Raw genomic sequence first — 19,705 nt, forward strand, 5'->3', positions numbered from 1 at the left:
AAATGGACTTACGTGTTGATTGTTGATATTAAATGGGACATTCCATTTAATAAATGATAAAAGAATACATTTTAAAACAAAAATGCTAGATCAATTAACATCATATACTTATGACAAAACTTATGTGTATCAATCAATTTCTTCTCTAAATACAAAGTGTGTTCTCTAGGCATGTCTTGAAAAATGTCCATTTTAAACTCTGTAGGAAAAAACTTTTGCAATATAAGTATTCAAAGTAAGTGAATACTTATATTGAGTCTATGATGTAGCCAGTAAAACCAATTGTTTTTGGGTCCATTTAGGAATACTTGGACTATTACAATAGTTTTTCCCCCATTTGCTTGAGACCATCCTCCGGTCTCTCCCTCCTCCACTCCCCAAACAGCAAATTGTAAACTTTATTATGGTATAGACATGACTATGGTAATTTTCCTCATAAAAAATAATATGTGTTAAAATCTTACTTGTGGAACAATATTCATTTCAAGGTTCAGGTGTTATTACTCCAATGAATTAGAAAACTAGATTATGTTTAAATGATGCAGTTTTAATTTGTTTATTTACTGAATAGATAATTTTATAAATGAATGAATAGATGTTTCATAGTTATTTAAGCACTCAGTCTCAAAAATTTCAGGTCACTTATATAATTTTTTAGGTTAGTGAGATAAAAATCTACCTGTCCAATAGAAAGAATATCTCTGCTGAAACTTAGCAAAGTGCTTTTAAAAATATATTGAAAACAAATTATATTGCTTTTTCATATTTAATACATCACTTCACTCATTCATTTGTTCATTCATTTAATATTTATTGGATATTACCAATATGCCAGGTGTTAAAAATAATAAAATTGTTATCTGTCCACCTGGAGCCATAATGTATATAAAATTTTACAGAAATATGTTTTTAAATGAGAACATCTAATTTATTCATTTATTCCTTATTCTTTGAACACGCATCAGATGAAGCATCTAATTTAACCATATCCAGCTGGGAAGTCTTCACGGAGGAGGTAACATTTGGGGCAGGTTTTGATAAGAAGTGGTATTTTATCCAGTGAAGACATTTGTCCAGGGCAAAATATGTGAAGGCTTGTATCTTGGAAGGGACTGATATATTGTGGGAAACCAAAATTCTTCAGGGCAGCTGCAGAATGCCTGGGGTTATTTTCATCAGAATTAAAAATGTGTCAACTTTATTGATGTCCTAACAGAATTCATGTGTTAATATTGTCACCAATATAAATCACGCTTCTGAAAATGCAGGTTATTTAGTTGCTTCTTCCACTAACTCTTCCTCATCTCTGCCACAACCCAAAGTATTTTTCAGTACACCATCACACAAGTGTGGATTTGAGAAATCTCATAAATCATACTTTTCCTTACATCTTCAAATCTTTTGTGGGAATAGCAAACAAAGAAAAATGAAATGCAATATTGTTTCCATTGCTTAAGTCTATAGCTATTAAAATTTTCAGCTGATGGTAGACACTTTAAAAAATCTATTTGTTGATTCTAAAAATAGTATTGAAGATTTTTGCTTCAAAAATTGAAGAGTAATGTTGATCACACTTGAATATTTTTAATATGAGACATTTTAGATTGTGAGTGAAACTTGAAGCTGTTATGTTTCTGTTGCTATCTATATCTACACTACCAGAATTGTCAGACCTAAGATAATTTTGCAGTAATTTCCATCTTTGTTCTACTTTGTCATCACCATGAGAAAGAAATACAGCCAATGAAAGTAGTTTTTCTGCTTTTTTATTCTAAGAAAACACTAGGGGAAAAAAACCTCCTGTGACAAAACACATCCTTCTGGATTTAGAAGTTCATTTTTCATGAGTGATATAGTTTGGATATTTGTCCCCTCCAAATCTTATGTTGAAATGTGATCACCAATGTTGAATGTAGGCCCTAATGGGATGTGCTTGGATCATAGGGGTGAATCCCTTATGAATGGCTTGCTGTCATCCCTGTGGTAGTGAGTGAGCCCTCACAATATTAGCTCAGGGGAGAGCTGGTTGTTTAAGAGCATGGCATTCCTCCCAGCGCCCTCTTGCTCCCTCTCTTGCCATGTGACATACCTGCTCCCTTTTCACCTTCCACCACGGGTAAAAGCTCCCTGAAGCCTTCACCAGAGGAAGACGCTGGCACCAGGCTTCTTGTACAGCCTGCAGAACCATGAGCCAAGTAAACTTTTCTTTATAAATTATCCAGTCTCAGGTGTTTCTTTAGAGCATTGCAAAATGGGCTAATACAAGGAGGTAACACATAATATGATGACACAGAAAAGGACATCGTGTAGGGCATGTAAGGCATTGAAAAAAAAATCCAATGGGAAAAAACACTGTGACCAATTTAATTTGAATGTGAAAGACATGTTTACTCCTTTTGAATTAAGTGCATGGCTATGAGATGGCATACTAGTGTTGACAGAAGTTGGCTTTCATTCTTAGACTCAATTTTTATTCACATTCCCATATTAAGGAATAAATTAACAGGATCTATCTCATCTTGGTAGTCACGGGAGAAGCTTTCCTTTCACTTGCCCTTTCTATGTACAAAGTTAACTTCTTCACTTAATAGCTACAATCTGACATTATTTATATTATAGAAACACGTGTCATGGAACTGACCCAGTCTTTCATACTAGCAAAGATGCAGATGTCATCTATACATATTTAATCTCATTACAAAGAAGAGGAACAAAAGTTATGTTCTTTTGAATATTATCCCCCACAGAAATGGCATCCTCTTTTAGGACTTGAAACATCTTTATTTTAGTAGATTTAAAAATATATATGAAAATATATGTCAATAAGATTTAAACTTAGAATTTATGATATATTTAGCTTAAGCATTTACATCTTAAGTCTTACCCTTCTTTGAAAAATAAGACGAAAATGTGTTAATTTTGAATGTTTTAATTTAAATGTAATACAATTAGTGGATTCTCGAGGAATCACATAGAGGTCTCCATCCAAATTGTCATTGCAAAAAAAAAAAAAAATACTCTGAGAAATGTATAAATAATTAAAAGGAATAGCAATTAGAACATACATTCCTTCATAAACTTAATGAAAGCTAATTTATAAATCTAAATTATAATCTGACAGTCAATATTTTCTCTATAATAGTAAAATAACCCTATTGTTTATTATAACTTGTTCTTCTTTAAATCCACAACGAAAAGGAGAACATGCTCATTGTATTCTTAGCAGTTTTATCTGATCACTTAGGAACCAAGGCAGTGTTGTTAGGTGCTGAAAATTGTGAAGGTAGATTGATGCTTAAAATGAAGGAGGTCGCCGCCCTCTTGTTAAACCCTGCCTGACTCACTTCGGCAGCTTCAGATGATAACAGCACGTTCGCCAGATTTTCTAAGTGATGAAAATGTCAGGAAACCCAAAGTTATAGTTCCCCCAACAACCATAACTTGCTCACTTTGCAAGGAATTATTAAGGAAGAAAAGTTAGAAACTGACAAGCAGTATAAACCTGTAGTTATACGGAATTCGTGTCTACACAGGCAGAGCAAAATTCGATAATGAGGCAACTAGCTGTGCAATTTAGACAAAAATTACTCCTTACCTAAGATAATCATAAGAGCAAAAAGTATTTTTGTTAGAATTAAATTATCTGGATAATTGACTTGAGACTGTTTTGTACATGTAGATATAAAAGAAAAAATAACTACTAGAATGATCTGAAGTTCCAAATATAATGATGTTTTAAATTAAATTGGTGCTTTTCTATGCGTTATAAACACATACTTAGCCAAAATAGACCACTTGAACTAGGAAATTGGCTTCAACTTATATTTACTGTCACAAATATATTCATAAAGAGATGTCTAGTGAATCTTAATTTTACTTTTTATATCAGGAGAAGTGCCATTTAAAAGCTGATTCTAAATGTAACTATGGTGATATTCAAGTCAAGATGGTAAGAAACACTTCAGTGCTCCTTTTATTTATGCAGACGTTAAGTTAAGAAGGAAATTGGGATGGTGGAATCTGGGGAGAATAGGAAATTACATAATCCTCCCAAAGATATTAGAATTCAATTAAAAACCCAGGAAAACATACCTGGCCAAACAAATAAATCAGCAAAACAAATATAGGCAAAGGAAGGGCCATGAAGGAACAGTAACACAGGGGTGAACCAACACATGATGAACACTCAGCTTCATCCCCCTCTGCAATTTGACAGACCACTAGCTGACCAGCAGGAACAAGGAGCCCCGGATGTTGCCAAGGTGGCCAGTGGCACCATCTAACCAAACAAAATCACTTCCTTTAAAGAGAAAAATATCCTGCCCGCCAGGGGATCAAGTTTTGGTTTTCTCTCATATTTGCAAGACACTCCCCCTTGGGCTAAAGGCACTCCTAGCTTTTTATGGACTTATAAAGGGTAGAGGGCTAGAAAAAGAGATTCTTATAAAGACTCACGCCATTTACACTGAATGTTAAGAAGAAATGCTTTTTTTTTTTCTACAAGCTTAATGTAAGTTGTAGCTGTTATTTTAATAAATAAAAAAAATCTGTGCAAGTACTACCGGAAAAAAATGACATTTGGCATTATGAAACTAGTCAAAATATCCCTTTAACACAATTTTGTTATCTGCACACTTCCCTTCCGGAAGCAGCTGTCATGGGTGTGTTTATGTCAATTCATGTTTCAATTTAAGTTGTGGAAATTCACTTTATTTTTTCCTGAAATCTTAGATTTGAACTTCTCATTAAGAATCCTTAGAGGAATCACTAAAAATTCATAACTAACTTCATGGCCTTGGTCCTAATTATTTAATAAGTTTTCATTTCTTGTATAAAGAAACAAAATTAACTTTTGGAAACTTATTCTTTGTTTTTGCTGAGTAGCTCATGGCTAAAACTCAGATTCAGTAATGTTAAAGAGTCAAGTTCTATTTATTTTTTGAAATAGTTATATTTAAGCACTTAAGAGTTCATAGGTCACAGGAAGCTACTATTTGAAGTGATTTCTTTAGGCAGAATTGGTGACTTTGTAGATAACTCTGAGGACAGCAATTAATATATATATTAATTATATATATTATTAATTATATATAATAATCAATATATAAATATATAATATATATTGATTATTATATATAATTAATAATGTATATAATATATAAAAATACATATTATATCACACTCTCTATGGAGGGGGCGGGGGGAAGGGTTCCTCCACTAGATTATAAGTTCTTTGAGGTCAAGGGCTAAGATGTATTTATCTTTTGTTCCTTATCACAGTGCCTCAGCACACAGTAAGCACAAATAAGCAAAAATAAATGAATTTATTCTACTGAAGTGATAATCATATAGGGATGCCAAATTAAGTAAATAATGAATTAAAAGTAGTTGAGAATAGTATAATGAGCATTATAATTTAGGATAAGCAACATGGATCTGCTAGTAATTGACCAATCTTCACCTATAAAAGTGGCAGTTTCATATAGTTCATTCTGTTGCTTGATCAGATTTACGAGATGCCTCTCTCTGAGAATCTTACAAGAACTAGGATGTTTTCCCACCACAACTTTTTAAGAGGACAGGAGAATTTTCCTTAGTTTTGCCATTCCCCAGAGAGAAGAACACTACAGCTAATATTCCTAAGGTACAGAGCAGTGAATTAATTCTTGATTGAGCTAACCTATTTTTAAGTATTCAGGTGTAGGGCACTATGTGCTGGTATGTGCCAGACACCATGCTAGGAACTGAAGACAGAGTCACGAAGACCGCACCCCTGCCTTATGGTAGATCTGATAATATAACGTGGTGTTTAGACAAGCAGTCAGGCCAGTACACTACAATGACAATAGTGATATGTTAGGGGATGTCCTATGGAAATGTTACAGAGGAGCTGAATCAGACCAGCAAGAGTGTTGGCAGGAAAGGCCTCCTAGAGGAAGAAACCTCCAGGCTAAGACGTGGCAGATGATCTAGTCAGGCAACAGGAAAAGGCAACTATGGGGAAAAGCTGAAAGAGCAAGTGTTGTATGTTGGAGGTACTGAATGCAATACAAATGTGGCTGGAATGCAGAGGCCTTGGTAAGAAAGGGATGGGAGACAAGGCTAGAATGGTAAACAGGGTTCAGACTACAGCTACCCAGTGGTGGGTCTAGAAAAATAATGACCCACATAGAAAAGTTACTGAAACATATGATCGAGGAGTTTTCATAAAATAACGTTCATGTTTTCTGAAATTTAATCACATTGCTTGAACTCATGAAGATTTAGAAGTCATTTAATTCTATAAAATCACCTCATTTTATGGACAACAAAAATGAAGCCCAGAGAAGTTAAGTGATTTTTAAGTAGTGAAGCTTTGTGGCCTAAAGTCACAAAGCTAGTTCTCCAGCACAGGCTAAAGCAGAACCAGATCTCCTAACTCTCCCATGTAGCACCCTTTTCTACTGTCACCTATTAGCCTTTACTGAATGTCTTTGAACTCTAGATTGAATTCTTTCAAGTCCCAATCCTGTTCACTAATGTTTTCTTTTGCGGACTGAATCAATAACTTACAATCAATTATAAGTCATTATAATTCATTTATAAGCCATTTCTAGAAATAGCAAGCATTCTACAAGTGCCCAGGAATTTTCCCCATTTTGTATGTGTTCAATATTTCCAAATTCTTCCATAACGTTTTATGTCTAGATGGAGCCGTGACAAAGGCAATAGGTTAAGGCTTGAACATCTACAAGTTCAACTTCAAAAGGCTTATTTTAAGCATGCAGTTAAGATGGAAAACATTAAACATGCTGACTGTTACAGCTGGGTGATTAATGCCACAGATAATAACCAAACATGTTTTATTGCATAACTGATAACACGCTCACACAATGAAGACACTGAGATACTTTGAACTATTCAACATGCCCAGAACTAAATGCCAGCATTTGTTTTTATAGTTTTTGTAATCTCACCTGCTAAGACCCTTATCTTCATAAAGCCACTGAGTTCCTGAATAAATATTGTGCCACCGATTTAAATCTTCTGGGGGATTTGATGCAAGTGGCTGCTGGATTTTACGTCTCAGAAGCTCATATCTAAAGCAAAAGACAAGCAGGAACATCAGGATTATCTCAACTCATATTGAGATTACCAAAACTCAGGCTGTTCTGTGGCATGTGCGTGTGATATATGCGTGGAAGCATAAAGAATAACATCTTAAGTTTACAGTTACGTGGTTTTGTTTCAGATGAACGTTTTTTTTTCTGGACCAAATTCCATATATTTAATATTTTGAAGAATCAGTTACATTCGCATTTTACTATTATCTCCCAGAATGATAGCATTTTAGATTTCTTCTAAGTTAGATGTGCCAAATCTTTACTGCCAGTTTCGCACAAAGTAGAAATACACAAAGCTTATCAAGTTAATGGTTTCCTATGACTATCAATACTTTATAAACGATGATAATATTATCAACTTTGTATTCTTGGCCAAGTATCAAGTTTGGGTGGTTGCAAAACCATTTCTGAATCACAGCTCTTTTCTTTCATCGTATCGGGCTCCCTGACCACACTCCTCACAAGTTTCCATAAGCTAACAACATGCCAAAGAATTACTGTGTTAGCCTTAGAATTCTGAGGTACATTTGTGCAAATGTATCATATAGAACCTACATCAGGTTTGCCTAACATATAATAAAAGCATATGTTGAAAATGAAGTGATGGATTATGTAGCGAATCCTTAGACAATAGTGATTGTGGTTTCAAGGGTTTTTAGTTCTTCAAATTGATAAACTTTGATGTTTCCATAATAAGTTGAAGTGTACAGTATGATAGTGTATGAAAGTTATGAGTCAGGGGATATTCAATGCCAAATTAGTTCTATGTTCATATAGGAATAAAAGCCTCCTTCATTTCCCTACTTCTCAGAGAGATAAGGACTACAGCAACATAAAAATCATAGTCACCTTCTCTTACCTCAAATTAGGTCCATTTGGCTTGGATGGTGGTTGCCAAGAAATCACAACATATGATTCACTTAGTGGAATCACAGACAATGGGCCAACATTCTGAGGTACGGTGGGGTGAGTGGTAACATAGGTAGGTAAACTCTCTGTGCACCCTCCAAGGTACCCATTACCCCCTGAGCAAGCAACAATGGTGACAGAATAATTAGTGAAAGGAATCAGATGAGTAACTTTTTGACTTAACACTGCGGAAGTCACATTGGTTAAAGTGATGTGAGGGTCAGGCATGTGAATCTCATAGCTAAGTATGTCTCCGTTCTGGATGAGTGGGGGTTTCCAAGTGACCTGAAATGAAAGATAAACTTAGAATCAGTGTGACGATACAGGAATAGAGCAATTGAAGTTCACGAGGCCTAGAATTTTGCTCTTGTTTTCAGTTAAGTCATTTTCTAAATGGCTACATTCTCCTGAGGCCTTTGGACTAGACAGTAATGAAGGGTTTGAGATCAATTAGCAGTACTCCAGGAGCTAAATGAAATGCTGTTTCCTGGGTTTGGCTTTCAGTCTTGCCACTTTCTACGACTGTCAGACTGATACACACCTTAGCGATTCATCGCCACTGTGGGTGTTCTGAAGGACACAGAGCAAACACATGGAGAAAATTCACACATCCACATGCTTCAATAGGGTTGCATAGGATTTGATGGTTTTCATGTTTATAACTCAACTAAATGAAACATCAGAACTCATTTCTTTGCACTGTTAGTGTGACTGCCAAATAAGTCACTTTTTCTTGGAGGAAGGGAAAGAGAAATCATTATTCATATTTTCCGAAGATGCAAAATTGAGTTCCTGAATCTTATTTATATATAACTTAGCAATTAAAGCATTAATAGCACATCCTCTTCTCAGGGATAAGGAATGTATAGAAAGCTTTGAAAAAGGGAAGCCAAAGATGTTTGTGCTTAGCTAACATGTGGACTTGAGCATCAGAAGAAAGAACAACATTTTGTAGTAGAATTCTAGAATGTCTGAAGTTTATTTTCTTTTCTGGCTAAACTCTACAGGAGCATAGTGGTAACACACTCATGTTCTTATGGGGAAAGAGATCCTAAAAAATGTGCACAGGCCATGACAAAAATCATTTATTTACATGTTATCCTCTTTCATCTCTTTTATTGGTACCTTCTAGTGCTCTTTATATAAATGCCAGGATATATATCTCATGTCCCAGCCTGTAAGCTTCTTCATAGCAGGGATAAACTCTACATTCACTTAGTACCATGTGCACAGAGGTGGAGTTCAGTTAGTAATTAGAGTCATGTTTTGTTAGATTATATTTTTTTCCCTAGCATACAGTTATTTTGAAACTTTAAGAGACAGGTTTCTACAAGGTGACATATTTATATGTACATTTGTACCCCTATGCAAACCAAAGAGGAGCAATATAGAAATTAAAATGGAGAAGGACTGACCATAATTTTCTATCTTAAATCAAAGGGAGAAGGTTTCATCCAGGAAGACTATGACCTGAGATTTTTTAAAGAGTATTCTTACTAATAATTGGTGACAAAAGGGCTCTCACCACATGCTAGTTGGACAATTGCTTGATGATTACTTTGGTAATTTATAATTAACAATGGGCCAATATCTACCAAATTATACTACAGGGGATGAAATCATTGTGAATCTTAAAAAAACTTTTTGGAGAGTTCTAAGAAGAGAGGCTGGGATGAAGAGAAGTTTTAGATGTGTTCCTTATAAACATAGAGGATTTGCCTGGATGTGGGGAATATTTTTAAAAACACCCTAAAACTAGCAAAGGTTGTAGCACAGATATAGGACGCTATTTGTTTTGGAGGTGCAATGCTGTCTGTGGACCCGGAAAATGAGTCAAGGTCAAACTCAGAGAGCTTCCTGGTATTTGTAACAGAAATGAAAAAAAGAAGAGCTATCACAGCTAAATTCAACCTGACTAATCTGAAGAATACGGCTTTCTTGCCTCTTAGACCAGAATACTTTGAGAGTTCAGGTCAGAGCTTGGCAACACTTTAAACCATTAATACTTAGTCCTTGCCCATGCCTATGTCCTGAATGGTATTGCCTAGGTTTTCTTCTAGGGTTTTTATGGTTATAGGTCTAACATTTAAGTCTTTAATCCATCTTGAATTAATGTTTGTATAAGGTATAAAAATACCAAAAATCACCTGGGTGTGGTAGCAGGTGCCTGTAATCCCAGCTACCTGGGAGGCTGAGGCAGGAGAGTTGCTTGAACCAGGGAGGCGGAGGCTGCACTGAGCAGAGATTGCACCATTGAACTCCAGCCTGGGCAACAAGAGTGAAACTCCATCTCAATCAATCAATCAATCAATTAATCAATGTGTTCAAGTTTTTTCTTTTTTTTTAAGACAGCGTCTCACTCTGTCACCCAGCCTGGAGTGCAGCGGTGCGATTTCAGCCCACTGCAACCTCTGCCTTCTGGGTTCGAGCGATTCTCCTGCTTCAGCCCCCTGAGTGGCTAGGAGTATACGCGTGTGCTACCACACCCGGCTAATTTTTGTAGTTTTAGTAGAGAGGGGTTCTGCCATGTTGGCCAGGCTGGTCTCGAACTCCTGACCTCAGGTGATCCACCTGCCTTTGCCTCCCAAAATACTGGGATTACGGGCATGAGCCACCACGCCCTGCCCATGTCCAAGAATTTTAAGGAGCCAGTTAACTAAATATTGTATTCTATTCTTTTCTATGCTTAAGACCACATTTATTATTGTATATGTGGTCAAAATATATGAGATTAAAACTTTCAGTTTGTTTAATTTCCTATGACCTTTTGTATATCCATTGTACATAAGAAAGATTATGAAATATTGTTGCATCCCTAAAAATTCAGACAAAAGAACATGTTATTGGCCTGAATAAGCAAGAAATGTGTTCTTTAAAACAATAATATTACATTAAAACTTTTAAATAGAATTATAGTTTTGCACTGGAAATAAAATGTTTATTTCAGAGATGGCTTTCCTATCACAATGACTTCTTTTATTTGAGTGGTTCTTAATGATTCAGGTTTCCATTTTTTCTGTTTATTGTAAGTCTTCAGAAAATAGGACGGCTAAATTGCCGGTTAAGTGTTTAAGGAACGATTGACTTTCAGCAGCTCTTTTACATCCCTGAAAAGTCTCTCTAAAAAGAATCATGGCACCTTCAAAGTTCCCCATTTTAAGCAGAAACTTAGACATGCAGGTTAGTTGATTGGCTTCAGGCTTGAAAAGAGTAACACCCAAAAGCATAGTAAGCAACTTCCTCACTTCTTTAACTCCATCAAACTATTTTGAAGAACTTCATGAATAAGAGCATTTATAAAGATTGATATATGGGTTAAGAATGGACTAAGAGATGATAAATGTCTCAAAGCGGTGTGGCTTTAGGCAAAACATTTAACATCTCCAGGCCTCGGAACCCTCATGTCTAATGTGATGAGACAATCCTTGCCATCGTGTGTAGACATAAGATTGCATAATTCTAAGAGTATTTTGTCAATAGAAGATAAAAATGTACCATAAAGAAAGATCATGTGGGAATATTTGACTCCGTACAGTGTAGTAATTCCTCTTATGATGGACTCCCCTGAAAAATTCATACAGAACAAGATGTGCAATAAATATTTGTTGAAATAAAGTTGTCTTTCACAATGTCTTCCTTTCCTTTAAAAATATTAATCTTAATTTTTAATTTCAAATATTCTATTTGTATTTTTTCAATCAGACAGAGAAAGAGTACAAATATATAAATACAAGAAACATTAATTGTGGCTCTGTTTTATTTCACTCAGGTGAAAACTTAATAGTCTGAAGTTTATTCTTCCATACTTTTTGTATGCTCGTACAAGCAAAGCAAATATACTCCTGCATATCCTAGGTCTCTCTCTCTTTCTCTTTTATTTTTTAAAAACTTTTCACAGAAAAAAAGTTCTCTACCACTTATGCTGGAACTTGCTTTTCAGACTTAATTGATTATGGACACACCCTATTATTTTTTATGGTTGCATAATATTCCTTTCATGGTTGAAAACAAATTATTTGTTAATCCTACTGACATTATTTTATGCTAAAAATAAAATTTGAAAATGTATGCAATATGTGCTCTTGTGTTTATTTCATATTGGAAAGATTACCAAGTATTGCCATGCCAAAAGGAAAATGCATGTTTAATTTTAATCATTATTGATATACTACTTTCTTAAAAAGTTGGGGAAATTCACTTTATCATAAACAATGAAATTATCCGTGATCTGTGCCTCCACAAACTCTTGAAATTACTGATATTCGTTTTTGCTAATATTACTTGTTTCTTTAATTAATTTTCACTCCCTTGACTTTATGTGAGGTATGAATGAAAAATTAATTGTGGTTTTTGTCATTATTTTTAATGGTAAAAACCGTAATTACTTTTGCACCAACCTAATATATCCTCTTACCTAAATTATTTTCTATTAAAGTATCTTGTATTATAAATTATTAGAAGGCCTATGCATATTAAGGTGAAATTGATTTGTCTGTAGTATGTGTTACAGATGTACTTTCCAGATCTATCTTTTGGATGTTAACTTTTTTTGGTGGGTGGGGGGGAAGTTTATGCCTTAGAAAATCAATCAGATTGTTTCTAGCTACATATAGCTATCTTTTTTTTTTAAGCTACTGAGTTTCTTTTTTTCTTTAGAAAGTGCTCCCCTACATTTAGATTACATGAAATTCTCCTTTTTTTCTAAGATTTTTACTTTTTTAACATTAACATTTTTAATTTATGGGAATTTATTTATAATATGATATGATAAAGGGATCTGTTTTTTCCGTACACATTGATAGTTGGTCGGGCTGGTATCATTTTTTAAAGCAAACCATTCTTTACCAATGAAATAAAATGCAGATTCTACCTACAATAAGTCATTTCAACAAATACTCGTTATCTATACCTAAACTCTCTAGTTGGTTCCAATGACCATTTGTCTTTTTCATGCCAATACCATATTATTATAACTCAATGGCTTTAAAGTAAGTTTACATACTACAGAAAGTACCACCTCATTATTCTTCCACAATTTTCTATAATATTTTCAATCATTTAGTCTTCTATTTATACTTCAAAATCATTTTATCCAGCTTCATCCTTGAAGCCATCATTCTCAGTAAACTAACACAGGAACAGAAAACCAAACACCTCATGTTCCAAACACCACATGTTCCCACTCGTAAGTGGGAGTTGAACAATGAGAACACATGGACACAGGGAGGGGAACATCACACACTGGGGCCTGTCAAGGGGTGGAGGGTAACGGGAGGGAGAGCATTAGGACAAATAACTAATGCATGCAGGGCTTAAAACCTAGATGAGGGTTTGATAGGTGCAACAAATCACCATGGCACATGTATACCTATGTAAGAAACCTGCACGTTCTGTACATGTATCCCAGAACTTAAAGTAAAATAAAAAATAAAAAATTATTTTATCCAGTTTGAAATAAAACAAACAAAAAACATCGGCATTCTGATTTGAATGATGTTCAGTTTATATGTTGACTTTGGAAGGATTGTCTTGTTATGGAGTTAAGTCCTTCCATCCAGGAAGATTGCACTTTTTTTCCATTTGTTGCAGTGTAAAGAAGTAGAGAAGAACATAGGCTCCAGAACCCTATTGCCTGGGTGTGAATTCCAACTCTTACTCCTTATGTAATCTTATGCAGATTACTTAATCCCTCATTCTCAGTTTTCCTGTCTGTAAAATGGGAATGACAATAGCATCTATCTGACACAGTTGTAGTAAGAATTAAATGAAAGCAATTTCTAGAACATAACATGAACTCAGTGAATATATTTTCATTATTATTTTATTTCCTCTGTTTTATACTTTTTGTCTGTGGTTTATTTTAAGTAGACATCAAACATTGGCCCATCTTTAAAAGTCAATGAGGATGATGATTAAGACTCAACTTCTTTTACTTTGCTTTATTATCAAACCCATAAATGAGTGACCCTAAGTGTACATAGCAGAGGGAAGGAAGCTACACATGTTTGTGGTCTGGGTGACACTGTTCCTTGTGGCGCACCTGCCAAGGCTGGTGGCTTCACCTGTCTGAGCTGAGTGAGGACCCTACTGTATAAGAGGAGCTGACAGCTGCAGGATTACTCTATTTTATTCTGCTTCACCTGTGAAAAAGTGGACAGGGGCATCAAGGTTTACAGGCTCATGATGTTATCATAAAAGAAGTTTTTTTTTTCTTTTTTTTGGTGCATCATAGTCATGCAACTTAGTTATTTATACATGTTATTTCTTATCAATCCTCAATTCAAGGCTTCAGTACAGCAGTTTATACATTGACTTTATCCCATTTAAGTACCTTCTTCCTAATCTGATTTTACTTTGACTTTTTGTTAGAAATAACTTCTTAATTGTATGCCTTTTTTTCTGCATCTATTGATAAAAAAAAACCATATGGGCTTTCTACTTTAATTGGTTGATGTAAGACATATGTTGATAGATTTTTTGATGTTGAACCATCCTTACATTTTTAAAATGAAATCAATTTGTCCTTGTATATCATTCTTTTAATATACTGCTTAATTCAATTTGGTAATCTTTTATTTAGAAATTTTGAATCTGTACTCATAAATGAAATTAGTCTATAGTTTCATTGAACTGTTTTAGGTCTTGGTAGAGCATTTTTACCAACCTTATAAAATGAAATACATTTTCTTAGGTGATTAAATATTAAATAAAAGTGCATGGCTTTCACTTATTCAGGTGACACAACTCTTTGACATTATATATTTATTTTTCTTGTAATCAAATAAGATTTTAAGCATATTATTTCATCTATGCTGCTGTGCTCTCCAATTTGCCTTTCTCAAGGCTCATATTTATACCAAGTCATATCACCTCTTTTAGTACTTACTAATATGTTACATTGCATTTATTTTCTAGTTAGCCTAAGTATGTGTTGTCTCTCTTGATTTCCCTATTGGACTGTAATTCTTACAGGTGGCATTGTATGGAGAAAAAAACCACATTGCACAAAATGAGTAACACTAAGGTGAAATACCAACTCTGCTCCTTGTATTATCCCCCACCCTATCAGCTGGCATTCCATATTTCTCTACACTCAATTTGTTCTTCTCCCCCAAGTCCTTATTACTTCCAGGTATATTACATAGTTATTTGTTTGCATTCTGTCTAAAATGTAATCGCCATGAGCCTAGGGACTTCATCTTGATCTCTTCTGTGTCCCTACTGCCTAAAAGAGGCACTTACAAAGATGTTCACTCATGTACTGATGTTCCGTAAATGTCAATAGAACTGAAATTATTATTGTTACTGCTGTTAATATTACTGTCAATTTCCTTCATCCATCCTAATACCTGGAACAACCCTCTATGATAAATAGTTGAATTAATTTCTTAACCAATGCATTAATGACTATCCTTCTGTTATTTCATATAAAATATTTTCTATTTGCAATTTGGACTTTTAAATCTCATATTTTACAAAGAGAAGTCGTTGTTTAGCTGTCATATACCTCTGTTTACCAGCTAAGCTATATCACGAGAACGTCCACTTCGGTAAAGTCTTAAGATCGTTCTGAACATGTGAGCCAATAATACTGAAGGACAGATATGTTATCTTAATACTCTTTAAATAGTATATAGCATTAAATACTAGACTCAGTTGAATATTCCTGCTGATTCTATTGATAACTTTTTATTTCCTAGTTATAAGATGAGAATAAAAAGTGTGAATTTTTAGAATATTACTAGTGTACCATGTTCATATATTTCAGACACCTTCTTAGAGACATTGAGATTCCTGACTTGGGGTTACCAATGCCTTGTGGCCTCAGGTGAGTGCCTATGAGATTCAGCTTTCTAGCCACGCTAATCTAAACTTCTCTAGCAGGCTGACAAGCCATGTATATTGTTTAATTCATGGATGATATTACAAAATCAAAAGAGGGTAAAAATGTGAAGAAAAAGCCAGGCAAGCTGATACTTTTAATTATTGTTTATATATGCTGAATCAAGCAGAATTGTACACTGAGTTCCTCCTCTGAAAATACTTATTTTTTTTTTCTTTTGAGATGGAGTCTCGCTCTGTCGCCCAGGCTGGAGTGCAGTGGCATAATCTCGGCTCACTGCAAGCTCCGCCTCCCAGGTTCACGCCATTCTCCTGCCTCAGCCTCCCGAGTAGCTGGGACTATAGGTGCCCGCCACCAAGCCTGGCTAATTTTTTGTATTTTTAGTAGAGACGGGGTTTCACTGTGTTGGCCAGGATGGTCTCGATCTCCTGACCTCATGATCTGCCTGCCTCGGCCTCCCAAAGTACTGGGATTACAGGCGTGAGCCACCGCACCCGGCCTGAAAATACTTACTCTTTTTCAGATCGGCCACAATCAGTAACGCCTAGTTATAAGATTTTTATTCGAAATAATCCAGAACAATGTCCATTATGTAGTGTTGCCTTTGTAAAGAGACTGTGTTTGTTTTGTTGCATCATAGTGATTGGTACTGCTACCAAAGTTTTACAAAACTCCCCCAAGATTGAAAAAAAAAGTCATTTCTGGAATGATTATTAACTCTATGCTTGGGTTTTGTTTTTGGTTTTGTTTTTATTTTGAATCAAGAGCAATTCTTTACATTGCTCAGTTCATACAATAAACATCGTATATCGTGTACTTAAAATTAATTTCCCATTAGTGTTTAATGAATGGAATTCTATACACATATTTATATCAAAAATGTGTGTTGCTTTGACCAGCTTCATATTAAAACTAACAAAGACTTTTAAAAATAGCTTTTAATTTGTAGGTTAAATTAAATTTCTCCAACAATTTACACTGTTTAGCATCACCTAGTGTTTGCTTTTGGTGGGGGAGAGAGAACACACAACATAGATCCAAGTAATAATTTCAGCAGATGAACTTTGCTGTTATGCAAATGTCCTTTGTTTTGTGCTCCGGTGAGCAAGCTACTGTACCAATGCTTTTGGCAGTAGTACAAGACTGAATCCATGGAAGCCTGTGTGTATTTACACAAAAGAGGCTTCTAAGCTACAAAACTCCCTCCTGTTTGGTTACACTAATTTCCCTTGAATGAAGTTTGTATGCCAGCCAAAACAATGGTAGTTATCCTGTCCACTAGAGTTCATTCCCAATAGAATGAGGTGAATAATTGAACACTTTCTGGATAGCCCGTTAATATGCTATTTTTATTTCTTTCCCCATTACTTTGATTCTTTGATTATTAAAAAATACCAGACTATTGGTAATGGAAAATTTTGTTAATATGCTAATTCATTCCTCCTTATTTTCCCATCTCTTCTCATTTTCTGATCTATTTAAATCTGACGTGGTGGTTAAGCTAAGCATCATTGTGGCATTCAAAATATTTCAGGTGTGCGAGGCAAATGGAAGCATCTCAACAATATAATTAAGGGGATACAGGGATAAATGAAAAACTGACATCGAATTTAAGATAGTTTGGGCCAAAGGCCAAAACCCAGTTTCTCCAGTGAATGCCTAAAACAACAAATGCGTTTGTTTAGTCAGTAGATGGCTCTGTTCAACACAGAGTCAATCCAGGGTACATTCCTAAGTCTGCAAAGGAGAGAGAATAGTCAGTATCTTACCTGGACTGCATCGGGTTCCAGCACTGTCACCACAGGTGGCTGCACCCCAGCAGGTCGTGAGGGTCTTGTGGTAACTTCTACCCAAGCACTGCTGTTTGTGCCTCCATGAAGAGTGCTCATCAGTACCCGATATTCATATTTTGTCCATGGGCTAAGAGCAGAAGTCTTGTCAATAAACCTCATGGAATGACTCCTCGGGAGAGTCACCAGGGTAGTAACTTCTTCCTTTCCTTTGACTCTTCTCTCAATTGTGAAATTCTCCACCAAGCCATTGGGGTGGGTAGGGGGTTGCCAAGATATAATCACAGATGTTGGAGTATCAGAGAACAGCTCTGGACTTGGGATCCCTTCCGGTGCCCCTGGGAGTGTCCATACAGTCTGGGACTCTGGTGAAAGGGAACATCCTTTTGAAGTGCAGGCTTCTACCTGAAACTTATAGGCAGTGTATGGGTGTAAATGCATCACTGTGCAATTAGTGACATTTCCAGGAGTTCTCAAGTATAGACGGCCATGTAGATAAATGTTATAATGGGTAATAACCCCATTGGATTTTCTAGGATGCTGCCAGGTGACCAACATCATTCTTGACTTCACATCCAGAAGAATCGGAGGAACTACAGGTCCAGGTTCTGTAAAGTAAAATAAATCCAGAAAGTCAGACCTCTTGGAAATGTCCCACCTCTCCTCAAAGCTAAAATGAGTGATAGCTCTGCTACAAGGATATGAAAATGAACACTTGGTAAAGGCCAATAAGTAAATAAATAAGTGCCATAAAGACAAGGACTGTGATTGCTTTGCTCATAAATTTTGCGTGTGAAATACTTGTTGAATATTATGAAACTAAAATGATCATTTTCCTCTCTAAGACAGCTTTATCAAAATCATGTCTTTTTATTCAAGCCATTGGTTAAAAAATGAGGATTTAAAAAAATAAATTTAATAAACATACAAGAGGGTAGTTGTTACTAAAGTTCTAGCTTCCCCTACATTTTTTTCTAGAGCCCCAGTAACTAATTATAATCAATAACACTATCATAACAAACTTGCATATTTTACAGCCCAGTAAAATCCTTCAGCATCTCTCATTATATATTCTATATTATACTTGGTTCTGTTTATCATTCTAATCCATGTTTTGCAATTTATCTACTCCCTGTTAATATTATAGGCGATTTTTTACTGTGGCTGTGACAGAAGCTGCCGATTTAGCTCTTTCACCTACTGATAAATAAACAATGCACAGATCTGACCTTTAGGTTAACAGGTTTTATGCTTGCTCCACTCAGCACTCTAACTGATTCAATTATCATAAAGGTTCAGGAGGCTCCATGAATACTGAAAAAGGCCCACCATATGCCTGCATAGGTGTTGTGGAACAGCAAATATTCTGCAGCCCTCCAGAGAAATTCCTTAATTGTAAATAATTTCACCATGCGACACAATCAAGTCACCTTGAATGCAAACCCCTCAGCCTGCGGGGGCAAAGTGTTATTTAAGCTTTACTGGGCTGCGTTAAATTCTGCAATTTGAAGGGCTGTTAAGTTTTTCAATTGAAATTTCATTTAAAATGCAGGTGCTTTTTATTATATTGAGGCTTTACTGCTCTCTAGGTACAAGCAAGAACATGGTGCAATAACACAAATCTGGCTCAATCACTGATCAGTAACAGCTGTAATTCCAGAACATTTAGCATTCTTATAAACCACGGCCTGAAATCTATAAATTGCTAAAACAGATCAAGAAAATACTGTATCCCCCCTTTTCTGCCCACAGCAATTTTGACATTTATGAGATTTTTCTGTGAACATTAGATTTTATTGAAAATCTTTAAAAAAGATATACTTGGATTTAGTAATTGTTTAAAACAGCGTTGATCTTGTGAGTGTGTGTATGCGATTCAGTGTTACAAAGAAGGTTGAAATTTTAAATGCAACCACTGCTTTGCAGGGCCAGTGACTGCAATAATAGTTGGTTATATGAGTACACTTTCACACAACAGGATCCACGTATTTGTCACCAACTGGACTGATGGTAGAATCATAATCACTTTTCGAAGCAAAAGATGTTATAGTGCACTAACT

General features: G+C 35.3%; 1 protein-coding gene across 1 annotated transcript in view; it reads right to left on the reverse strand.

Moving 5' to 3' along the window:
- Positions 1–19,705, reverse strand: part of USH2A (usherin) — an 800,558-nt gene that overhangs the window by 247,911 nt on the left and 532,942 nt on the right. The window contains exons 41-43 of the mRNA NM_206933.4: positions 17,625–18,253; positions 7,963–8,297; positions 6,957–7,079 (exon numbers count right to left, since the gene is read on the reverse strand). Coding sequence (NP_996816.3) covers positions 6,957–7,079; positions 7,963–8,297; positions 17,625–18,253 — 1,087 coding nt within the window. The remainder of the gene's footprint in view (positions 1–6,956; positions 7,080–7,962; positions 8,298–17,624; positions 18,254–19,705) is intronic.

This window comes from Homo sapiens, chromosome 1, assembly GCF_000001405.40.
Source record: "Homo sapiens chromosome 1, GRCh38.p14 Primary Assembly".
Taxonomy (NCBI): Eukaryota; Metazoa; Chordata; class Mammalia; order Primates; family Hominidae; genus Homo; species Homo sapiens.